At 38.1% G+C, this 12,207-nt stretch overlaps 1 long non-coding RNA gene across 2 annotated transcripts in view, besides 1 other annotated feature; it reads left to right on the top strand.

The window, feature by feature from the left end:
• The window catches only part of LOC105370507 (uncharacterized), a 144,575-nt gene that overhangs the window by 94,603 nt on the left and 37,765 nt on the right, over nucleotides 1-12,207 (top strand). The window contains exon 5 of one of the 2 annotated variants that reach the window (XR_943882.3): nucleotides 1,755-1,851. The exons of the other annotated variant lie outside the window; for it this stretch is intronic. This is a non-coding gene — a long non-coding RNA (uncharacterized LOC105370507). The remainder of the gene's footprint in view (nucleotides 1-1,754; nucleotides 1,852-12,207) is intronic. 2 annotated transcript variants of the gene reach the window in all.
• Nucleotides 8,848-9,349: an enhancer, noted in NCBI's record as "NANOG hESC enhancer chr14:54551221-54551722 (GRCh37/hg19 assembly coordinates)". NCBI's record gives its function as "activates a minimal SCP1, AML or CMV promoter by ChIP-STARR-seq in primed H9 embryonic stem cells {active_cell/tissue: H9 hESC(primed)}" and the evidence as "EXISTENCE:reporter gene assay evidence [ECO:0000049][PMID:30033119]".

Here is a 12,207-nt window from a genome sequence, read left to right as displayed (position 1 = left end):
ATTTGTTCAGACTCCAGTTGTTCTTCCCAGCTGCCTGTTTTCCCATTTCTCTCCAGTGAACTAGTCCCCTTCAATTGAATCTATCAATCTCTTCCCAATTTCCTGTCACCACAATTCCCTTATTTCCGAGAGTGCCCTTGGGGCTAAACTCCACACTTTGTTGCAAATGAAGTAAATTCGTTGGGGAAGAGATTTGGGAGCTCTTTGAATGGGGTAGGAGGGATGGAGACAATAAATTACTTCCTTCTGAGTGACAGGCCTGCTTTCAGAGCTAAGTGCTCACTGGATGGAGGCAGCAGACCCTGGTGTCTTCAGCTTGCATTCCTTGGTATGGAACCCCTACCCCATGAGCTGCAGTTAGGGCATTAAGAGCCCTGGTATTCTCAGTGGCACCATGTTCTTCATCCTATGAGTGGAGGTTGGGCAGAAAATGGCAGCTCCCACCTCACTGTTGCACTTTCCAAGAATTTAGTGTCAGCAACAGTTGAGGCTGTTGCTGAGGGCAGGATGAGAATTGCTGACATCCTTTGCCTCCTGGGAAATAGCCTCTGACTGGGTGCTTGAGAGAGAGGAAGGAAGCCTTGTATCTTTGGCTATACCAAGTCAGGAGTGGAGTTTCTGTTTCACTGCTAGGAGGAGGGAGGGTATGATTCTTCATTCAAATCCTACACACTCTTGCAGTTCTTACTGGGTTTTAGTAGATTTTGTTGAATAAATGTTTCTTCATTTGCAAGCCCTTAGAACCATTTCCTTTAAGTGTTCCTTTTTTTTTCTTAATCATAATTTTCACCAGTTTCACTGGAGAGTGGCTTCATGGAGCTCCTTGTACTTTTATGCAGAAGTGGAAATCTTATATGTTAATTCTTTCATTTATTTACACCTTTACCCAGTTTTATTGAGTGTATATTATGTGTCTGATCCTATGATAGGAGCTGGAGATACAGTGGTGAGTAAAACAGATTTGGAACTTCCTGTATAGTAGGCAAGTCAGAAAAAAGGCAAAACAAGATTAGAAGCAGCTTGACAGAGGTTCCCATTAGATTTTGAATGAATAACAAATAAGCAAATGAATTACATTAAGTTATTTGAAGGAAACCATGCTTAGTGAAGATAAAACAGAATCATGCAGCTTAGAGTCTGTTGAAGAAGAGAAGGAAGCTAACACAGTGGTTGGGAAAATAGAAGGATGACTTAGGTTAGGAAAAACCAAGAGTTGTAGGACCTGAGATCTTGGGGATGAAGACTTTTCAGGAAGTGACTAACATCTGCTTTTAGCACTGTGGCTGACTATAATTCGAGGTAAACAGCCTATGGAAAGAATAATTATGCACTATTTAGGGAAACATATTGCTTACATACAGCTTAAAACATATAACTTTAACTAAAATAGAGAATAATTACTGAAAGTGTACTGTATTTGGGATTCTTTCATTTAATTCTATCAGTAACTGAATTGCTGTAAGCTATGGTTTACTCGTTTTTAAAATAGGGCTAACAATGCCTGAGTGATTGAGTGACCAAGTTACTATTAGCTCCAGCTTTCTGTCAAAGAGCACCATACTGCCTTGAGTTAAAGGCAGTTAACTGTTACTTAAGATGTATGCCTTTTAAACATTGTTTGAACTGGTGGCATTTTGTGGTCTAGGAGTAGGAAAGAAAAATAATAGATTCCTATTATTATATGCATATATAAATTTAAAATATTGTAAGGAATGTATGTTGAATTATAGTTTCTTTCTATTGTCTTTTCCCAGTTCAACAACCATGTGTTGAACACTTAATATGTGCCCTGCACTATTGACAAAATGAATATGATGGGGCCTTGCACATAAGGATCACATACTATTTGGAGTAAGTATTGGGGTTGGGTAGATGGATAAACCAAATAAATTGTTATTAAAAATGAATATATTAAAGACAGTTCAGCAATTGGGATGAGGGCTTTTATTGCAGGAAAGGATGGTGAGACCACAAATTAATCCAAATTGGAGCTGCCCAACACAGCATATTTCACCTGGTGGTAAGACCCTAAGTGCAGTGGACTTTTTAAAAATGGAAAGCTTATTGCTTCTCAGGGATATCTCTCTAACTGATTGATTGCCTAACCAGCATTTCTTCCTTCTATTTTGAGTAATTGTGCACCACTTAATTAGTCTTTCAATCCATGAACATAGTTTATCTCTTCATTTATTTTGAACTTTTCTACTATCTCTCAGCAATGTTTTATAGTTTTCAGTGTAGAAGTATTATATATCTTTTGTTGATTTATTTCCAGGGTTTTTTTTTTGTTTTATATATTACTGAAATTGGTTTCTTAAAAAACTTTATTTTCCAAATTGTTATTGGTAGTATATAAGAATGCAGTTGATTAGCTTTGTATTCTGTGACCTTGTTAGACTCATTTATTACTCCAGTAATTGTTTTATAGATTCCCTAAGATTTTCTACAAAAAAAAAATCATATCTGTGAGTAGGAACACCTTTACTTCTTTCTTCCAAAATTTAGGCCTTTGATTTTTTTTTATAGCTTTATTCCAATGGATAGGTCTGCCAGTAAAACGTTGAATAAAATTGGTGAAAAAAAATCTGTTAATTCTCTGGCTAATACTCCTTTCCTTTCCTGTAAAGCTGATCTCCTCAAATAATAGCTACACATCCTTTGCCTACTTGTGTGCTTCATCTTTTAGTCTGCTAACATGAGCTTCTGTCTAAGGTACTCTATATTAAGCCACTTTGCCAAAGGCCCTAGTGACCCATTTATAGCAGAATCCAACAGGCCTTTCCCAGTTCTTGTCTTTTCTGGCTCTTCCTATACATTTATCCTTGTCCTTAGAGCTCTCTCCCTTCTTGGTTCTCAAACCACTTACTTTGAATCCCTTTCAGCCTCCATCATGGCTACCTCTTTTTCTGTATGCCTTTTAAATTGTTTCCCAGATGTCATTTTTTGAAACAATTTTCAGTTATTTCCCAGTTTTCACTCTGGATGCCCTCCTGGGGGCAATTGCATTCACTCCCCAGACTGCAACTCAACATGAGTATTGATGATTTTCAAATCTCTATTTCCTGCTCTACTTTCTTCTCCATCTCCAGACCTATTATCTACTGCCTAATGGATCATTCTGCTAGAGTTTTCCATGGACACCTGTAACTTGACATGCATACAACTTAGCTCATTATTTCTTCTTATGTTTAGCCTGCGTCTTTTTTTTCTGAATTTCTACAAACCAGTGGAAATTCTTCAAATATACAAAACTATGTAATGACAGTCTTTGCCCATAGTATTCCTTGTGGCTGGAATGTTCTCCTTCCTCCTCCCTTTAGCTGGTTCATATATACAACTGAAGTCATTTGCCACTAAGAAACCTTTTCTAACCAGCCACACCCCATGCTAGCCAGCTAGAATTGAACTTAGTACCTGGCATGGACTTCCTTCAAAGTATCTATAACATCTTTTTAAGACATCTATTTGTTTATATGGCTATTTCCCTCTACTAGATTCAAGGACCTAGGCCTTGTCTCATTTATTTTTGTGTCCTCAGATCCTGCCATGGTGCCTGGCCCTTAGTAGGTACTCATTAGGTATCTGTGGTTGTATGCATATTACAATCAAGCCTTAAGCTAGTAAAGTATATCAACCTAGATGAAGAGAAATTAATATTATGATACCCATGTGGAAGATTGTGGTGACAGAAAATGGGTGATCTGTGACTGCATCTATGAAAGAGGTATGCTCTGAATACTTTTCAGTTCGTCTCCAGAATTTTTAAGAGAAGTGGATAAATGCCTCTTGAATCCAATCAATTCCCCTTGCTCTAATTCTGTGCTGAATGAGGAAGTGGATTATGATTTAGCTTCTTATATATATCTGCCTATAAAAATAAGTGGAAACAAACAAAAATGGACTAATTTGAAAAACTGGGAATTTAATCTGTTGAGAAGTTGTAAATCTCATTTTAAAGGAAGTAAATGACATTTGACTTCTTTGGGCTTGGTTAGGACGAGTTGACTTCCCTAGGTCTTATCATCTCTTATCATCATCTAGGCATCATATCATGTCAGATATCCTGACAGAACTGGTCTGGTCTACACAGCTAACTCAGACCTGGAGCAAGATCTCTCCTCGACCTGTCTGTGTGGCTCACTTGTGTGGCCCCACCTTGTATTCTTCATGGGACTTTCTACCTGAAAAATTTACATTGTGTTTTTATCAAAGAGCTTACCAGGAAAACCTAAGGCTTATTTGAATTCTGCCTAATATTATATAGTAGAATTTTTGATGATCTCTTCTATAGCAGTTGTCGAGAATGAACTCTTGTAAGTTAGAATGAAATATGAAAAGAAGTTAAAGGGATGATGAAGCATGAGAATAATTAGACATGTGAAGGGCAGAAGGTACAGCTACAACATTAGCTATGAAGCAGCGAGCGAAAGGTAGCTAAAGAAAATAACAGCTGAAAAAGTAGAGAGATGGCTAAGAAGAGGAGGAGGATAAATGGGGGTAGAGAGGAATTTTTTTTAAATGTGTATTCAATGAGTTGTAATAGTGCCCAATCTTCTCCAGCTACAAAGTGTGTTTTATGCGTCCTAACAAATTCTGAAAGTCAGTTTTGACAAGGGGGTTTTCTAAAGGCATCACACTGGGCTATATAGATAAGATGGTTTTTTTGACATTTGTGGTTTGGGTTTCTAATCCAGCATGAAATAAGATTCGTTTATTCACTGAAGAATTTATTAAACTTACTGCAGGCCAGTCAAGGACCCAGGGACTAGGGACATGATTATGAGTAAGACAGAAAGGTGGCCAACAGATCAAGTCAACAGTTATTATTTGGTGTGCCAAATGTAAGGAAATTCAATATGCACATGGTGTTATGAGAGCAAAGAAGAAGGGCATCTCTTGGCAGCTGGAGAGGCTCCCCAAGGAAGGCTCCTTATTAGACTGGAATTTCTAGGATAACAGTACCTGATCTCCTCTTACTCACTCAGACATCCCTAGAACTAGCACAAGTGCCTAGTATGTGATAGAAGCTGATAAAAATAAGTTGAATGATTGAACTCATCAAAACCCATCTTCATTTGCTTGGAGTGGAAATCATCCCAATGGGAGATATTGCCCCAAATCCTATTCTTTGATTCTTAGAATTTCTTTATGAGAACAAATGTATCTGGAAATATTGATTAGTCTGACATTTTTATTTCTTGCCCTTAAGGTTTCACGAATACCAAAATTTTAGTGTGACCCCTCAAGTAATCACTACAGCAAGTAAAGTCAATGAAATATAAGCAAAGTGTTGAGCATATCTTTTAAAAATTGTGGAAATAATCAATATGCAGTGCCAATGGAAACACTGCAGTACAACATAAATTGAACTTCGGCAACTCGATGAAGCAAGCACATGCTCCTATTTGAGCTCTTTCACAATATATCTGTAGTGTTTTAACTAGGTATTTACAGATAGTTGAAATACCTAAAGACCACTTGATTATTATTTGCAGCTACTTCTCTACACCAAGAAATTAGCTGCCAACTCTCCTATTCTAGCAGCTAAAGTTTGGAAAGCAGACAAAACAAAGACTTCAAAGGAATATCCTTCATATTAAAACTCCCACAAATTGTGTGATGAAGGTCAAAGAAAGTGAATTTCAAATGAGAAGACTTAGCATTTTACTGCTTTTTGGCATCTGGCATAGGTCAGTTAATCTTTCTGAGTCTGTTTCCAAAACTACAAAACGCAGATATCGTGGTGCTCGCCCAACTTCGTGGCATTGCTATGAAGATCAAAAGAGATAATATAGATAAAGGAACTTAGAAAACTGTAAAACTCAATATGAATATTAATTATTAAAATAATATCATGAATGGAAAATGGAATTCAAATTTCTGACCATGAATGTGGCCTGTGATGAACAAATTTGAATGTTCTGTATTCAGATCCAGAGCCCTTGACTTGTTAACCGTTCATCACAAGATACTGAAAATAATTTTGTGCTAGGCAAAAAGATTTAGGAATTTAGTAAAACAGGGTTTTTGTTTTGTTTGTTTGTTTGTTTTTAAAAGGCTAGTTCTCTGATCTCACAACCAAAACCACGAGCACATTCCTTTAAAAGGATATCCTTTTAATGATTTAGGAAGCTTTTTAGGCTCTCCGGAGTTCTCACAGAGGCTAATATGGAAAACTCACTTACCCAAGAGGCTTGGTTGACTAATTAGACAATCTGCACCAATCTGATGGCCCCAGCTGTCCAAATAAAACCTGCCTTGATGGTGGAAAGCTCAGCAAAACTGGAAGGGGCAGGAACTGAGACAAGAATAAAAATCCAGGGAGACAGCCGAGCCGGCTGCTTTCTCTGAGTGTCTGAGAAGCAGCATCTTTATAAGACTAAAAGAGTTTATTTTAACCATAACTGAAAGAAACTAAGTACCAGTTACCACTAGCAAGGGTGATCTTTATCTGTCTTTGCTGACCTGAGAGAAAGGGAAGGAATCTTAAAAGGCTCTAGCAGCTGTGGGCTCCTCACAGAGGACATCTCCCGCACATTTCTAACATGTCTTGGATTTTTTCCAACCTTACCTTGTGTTAGAAGAAGTTGCTTATGGGAGTTAAATGCCCTTCCTTACAGGTGACCCCATGTAGGTGTTACCAACTACCCTGTACTCAGCAGAATCAGCGTTTTCCCAGTCTGTTTTTGGTAAAGGCCAGTGCTTGCTTTGTGAAAGGTTTTGTGGTCTCCTCCTGGCTTGGTTTCCCTTGGAAGGCTCTCTCCCAGCACCTGTGAGCCCTCACCCTGAGAGATGGCTAATGTGCTAATTACCATGAACCCAAAAATGTAAGCTGTAAACAAATGAGAGCTGTGTTTATAATCAATCAGTTTTATAGCCTTCTGATGGTGACGATATCAGTGGCGTTTACACTGGAAGACCGCACAGCGTTCTCCAGCAGCTGGCCGCTTATGTTGCTCTAGAGCGGAGGACGATGTGGCCCATTAATTGTAGTATTTGCACTGAAGGGAATGTTACTTTGGCCAAATAGCCAATCCTGGGTCTTAGGATTGCCAAATAAATTATTTTCAAAAATCTTAAAGTCAGTTTGGATGGTTTTCAAATTATCCGTGGTTTGGGGGCCTATACTTACCCCCAAAATGAAAAACCAAAAATGCATTCTTTCTGAGCTGTAACTTGATATATACATGATTTGAAGACAGTAGGGAGATACTAATCCCAAGGAGAGACAGGAGGGGCATTCAGCCTTGGCCTGGATGCACAAAGACGAGCTCTTCCCCTCTGATTTAGGGAATGACCTCTGGCACATCACGCTTCCTCTACTTAGGCCTTGTTTCTCCACCTGAAGGCTAAGGTGGAGATGACTTGGCAGCAGATGCCTGCAGAACACTTTGTCATCATAAGACCAGGAGGATCCACGCAAAGCATAAATATCATAAAACGTGGCAAGAAAAATGTTTACACCAATCTGTGGTTTCTGATCAAAGCCAAAATTGCTGGGTTCTTGAATGAAAACTTCTGGCTGCACATGTGAGATTTGCAACTGCCTTTGGCACCTGTAAAATATGATTTGTGAGGTGCCGAACAATGTCCTGGGGGTCTCCAAAGCCTGCTTCTTTGGCATCCAGATCCTTCATTCTGAGTCCTGCCAATATGTGGAGATGTGGGTGCATGAACTTTGGCTGCATTTTGGGTTCGTTAACAGAGCAAAGAATTTGCCAGTGAAGCCCCGATGCGTTTTGCCCCAAGTACCTTGCCCTTCATTTATAGACTCCTGGGAAAACCAAGCCCATCTGTTTCTCATTCATTTACACTTTACTCATCAAAATGTTGGTTTTGGTTGGATTCCTTTGTTTTCATTTCAAGAAACCTTTAAGAATGTAGAGTGGAAAAAAGATGGGTAATTAGCAAGGAGTGCTGAGGACCCTAACCTCTCCGTCCTGTTTTTAACATTACTTATGGTCCATTGTGTGGTGACAAGCATTTTTTTCCTACTGTCCCACTTATCAATTCCCCTAAGTTATTAAAAAAGGAAGGAAGAAAGGAAGGAAGAAAGGAAGGAAGGAGGTCCTTTTTGCTTCTGTTCCACAACCAAAGATTTGGAAACAAGCTAGAATCTGCATGCTTCCATGAGGTAATAGTCATAGGATCTCAGATTTTGCCTTTCCTTTCTCAATCTCTTGTTTTTAAAGAGACAACAGCATTTTCTTAGGTTCATGAAAGTGACTGGGAGTGGCTGGGAACTGTTTATCCCATCAACTTTAGGGAATAGGGTAAAAGAGTCTAGTATTCTTTTTTTTTTTTTTTTTTGTCCTTTATCAAGTACTCTTGAAACTATGAATATTTGTGAGCTGCAAGAAAAATAAATGCAGTCTATTTTCTGGCCTTTGGGGGAGTTTTATAATCCCTTGAAGCAGCTTTTTTTCCTTCCTAGCTTTTAGTCAAAATCAGTAATTGCAGGCATTTTAAGTGGGACCAAATTCCTTTCTTGCTTACAGTTGTAAACTTGCTGATCTTTGGAAGCAAAAGTAAAGTTAGATTACATCCTGTCTTCCCTCACCACCAGAAAAAAGAGAGATAACTCCCTCTCCAGTCCATAGTTTATACATTCCTGAATAACAACCATAATCCAAACTTTGTAGGAAGAAAATGATAAATATCTCATTTAAAGAATGCATTACTGTTGATTATGTACTATATGTACTGTATAACTTTAAACAAGGTTATTATTTAAAGAACAAGGAATTTACATTGTTGGATTATTAAGTTTTGACAGTGGTAAACCTATGGTACTATTGTTAGGTATCTCAATAGCATCTTATTACATGTATCATTTTTAATGATGTGAAAACCAGGTGCCCATATAACTTGGCAAATTCATTTCCATTTTACCTAGTAATGGTTTTACTTTTTGTCATGTGTGCTAGTATATAATCTTCAAAACTTAACTAATTGAACAAAGGAAACATTGCTGTTATTATGGTATTTAGGAAGTTCCAGAATTACTACTATAGCTATGGCTTTATGTTAAATACTATTCAAGTGGGTGGCAGCCTAACAATGGCATTAAGAGTCTGTGCTTTGGGAATCCCATCTACCTGGATTGAAATCTGAGATCTGCTGCTTAGCATTAACTGAGGCAAGTTAGTAAGCCTCTCTGTTTCCTTAGTTGTGTGGTAGGAATAATAATAGTGTCTAGTCTAGTGGTACATTGATAAATGGCAATTTCCATTGTATAAATACTTGCACTGTGGCTGATTTCAAGTTGCCAACCAGAGTTGGGGAAAGATGAGCACAATTAGCTCTTTTGAGCTGGTGCAGGCCATTGCCAATGCTCCATTAACAGCACAAACCTTAGGATTGTTGGGAGTATTAAAGGCAATACAGCATGTTAAGTGCTTAATATTGTGCTTGTATATACTTTATTTCCTTGATTATAAGATGCCTCAATTATAATAAAAATCATTATTTAAAAATAGATTTTTAAGGGAAAATATATTTATTGGCTGTATATAACTTGTTTTAGAAATGAAAAAATGTTCATGTTGAAATTGCTGAAATTGTTGAAAAAATGTTCGTGTTTACTCTGTACTAGGTACTATGCTAAGCACGTATCATAGGTAAGAAGCCTACATTATACATGCTTTTGGCTTATGATTATATTTATTCGCTTATTAAATTAGAAGTACTCTCTCAAATGTGGACATTCTGGGCCTTCTGGTTCTTTCATTAGAAGTTTTACCTCTAGAAAATCTCTCTGGCACATCTTGTATTAGTCTACTAGGGCTATCATAACAAAATGCCACCATCTGGTGGCTTAAACATCAGGAATATACTTATCAAGTTCTGGAGGCTGGAAGTCCAAGATGGAGATGTCAATAGGTGTGGTTTCTCCTGAGGCCTGTCCTTGGCTTATAGATGGCTGTCGTCTTGCTGTGTCTTCACATGGTCTTTTCTCTGTGCACATGCACCCCTGGTGTGTATTCCTCTTCTTATAAAGATACAAGTCCTACCGTATTAGGGATTCAACACATGAAATTTGGAGGGACACAGTTCAGTTCATAACATACTACTTTAGGCTATGTATTAGTTTCCTGTGGCTGCCATAACAAAGTGCCCCAAACTTGGGGGCTTAAAACAACAGCAATGTGGTCTTTCACAGTTCTGGAGGCCAGAAGTCCAAAATCAAGTTGTCATCAGGGCCATTCATGCTCCCTTTGAAGTCTCTGGGGGAGCCTCATGTAGTTTGTAGTGGCTCCAGGCATTTACTGGCTTGTGGTGGCATCACTCCAATCTCTCCCTACATTTGCACATGGCCTTCTTCTCTTCTCTATTCCATTCTCTTTCTCTTTTAATGACAGATATCATTGAATTTAGGGTGTACCCAGTTAATCTAGGATGATCTCATCTTAAGATCTTTAACTAAATTTTATCTGAAAAGACCCTTTTCCAAATAAGGTCATATGCATGGGTTCCAGGTGGACATATCTTTTTTGGGGGGCCACCATTCAACCCACTGCAGTCTGGTTAATTCATCCAGCAAAATGCATGGGATAACTTATTGATTTGTATGACAACTAGTTATGGTGTCAGTGTCTAGTAAAGAAAACTATTTGAGTGATCTTGCTTTTAAAAAGCTTTTTGCAAACCCAAATCAGCTGACACCAGCTGTGGCTGAAACAGCTGAGTGACTACCTGAGACATGGACCCTCCTATAATGTAGAGTTGTAGCTATGTTGCAACTGCCCAATTGGGGACTCCATTTCCCAGCTTCTTTGATTTTTGGTGTGACCATGTGACAAGTTCTGGCCAATGGGCTATGAATGGAAATGATCCATGTCACTTCCTGGCTAAGGTGGTTAAGTATTCTATGTGCCTTGCCCATACTCTCCTTACCTTTCATGGCAACCTTGGAGGGACTGCATGAAGATTGTGCCTTACAAGATTAATGGAGACTGGATACCTGAGTCATCACTTGGGGGTGAGCTACTCAGAAATTATGCCCATCAAAGAATATCCTTACAAACATTTGCATGAGTAGGAAAAAATGAACTTTTACTGTAGGAAGCCATTGAGATTCAGGAATTATTTGTTATTAGCAGTTAGCTTATTCTGACGAATTCTTCAGCTGGTGCTACACAATATATGCACAATAAAACACATTTTATAGTCAAATTGTAACATTGATTCATAAAGTATCCACTACATTATCTTACCATGGTAGGAATTGGTCACCAAATAGCATTGGCTAGAAGAAATGTTTGTCTGAAATAGATTCTGATCAGGAAATGCTATAAAGAAATGTTAAATATTCTGTTTCCAACCTAGACGTGATACATCACATTTTCCATTTATATTTTATTAGCCACGTCAAATCACCTGTGATTATCATCTTCCCACACGTATGAAGTAGAACAGAACTTGATATTGGTGCACAGTTTGATGCAACGACTAGATAGGACTTTGAGACAGTGGGATTAGATAAATCCACTTCCTCGCCCTCGAAGTACTTAGCTACACCCTTGATTTATAAGAAAGTGGAGTAGCCTCTTTGGGAAAATATTCAAACTATGTCCATAATTGTATATGAACTCAGTGGACTTAAAAAGACTTAAATTGTGTAGGTTGGGAAGGACTCAATTTGTGGTGAGGGACAATGAAAGGCGAATAAAGTACATGGCATGTCTGAGTAAATCTCAATAGTCAGGCCTAAGAACGGGGGGCAAGTGATGGCTCCACAAATAGTTTATGGTTATCTGATAATGAACATGATTTTCTTCTATAATAAAAATGGTTTTCTTTTTTAAAAAAAAATGCTAAACATTCTTTATAACTCACCTTAACTTTCCAGATTCACTTGTTTTCTCTAGAAGATGACCAAGAATCAATAGAAAATATTGAAAGATTATCTCATGGGGAGAATTTCATAATTTGAGGAGTGGTTACAATACAGCGGGAAAGAACCTAGCATTTAGAGTCAGATGAATTTGTGTTTAAATCCCTGATATGACACTTTTACTGTGTGACTTGGAAAACTATTTAATATTTATTTTTAAATTAATTCACTAATTAACTAATTTTTTGAGACAGGGTCTCCCTCTGTAGCCCAGGCTGAAGTGCAGTGGCATGATCATGGTTCACTGCAGCCTTGAACTCCTGGCCTCAAGCAATTCTCCCACCTCACCTTCCCAAAGTGCTAGGATTACA

Source organism: Homo sapiens, chromosome 14 (genome assembly GCF_000001405.40).
Source record: "Homo sapiens chromosome 14, GRCh38.p14 Primary Assembly".
NCBI lineage: Eukaryota > Metazoa > Chordata > Mammalia > Primates > Hominidae > Homo > Homo sapiens.
Note: the sequence above shows the minus strand (reverse complement) of the source record. Positions and strands in the feature narration are given on the sequence as shown.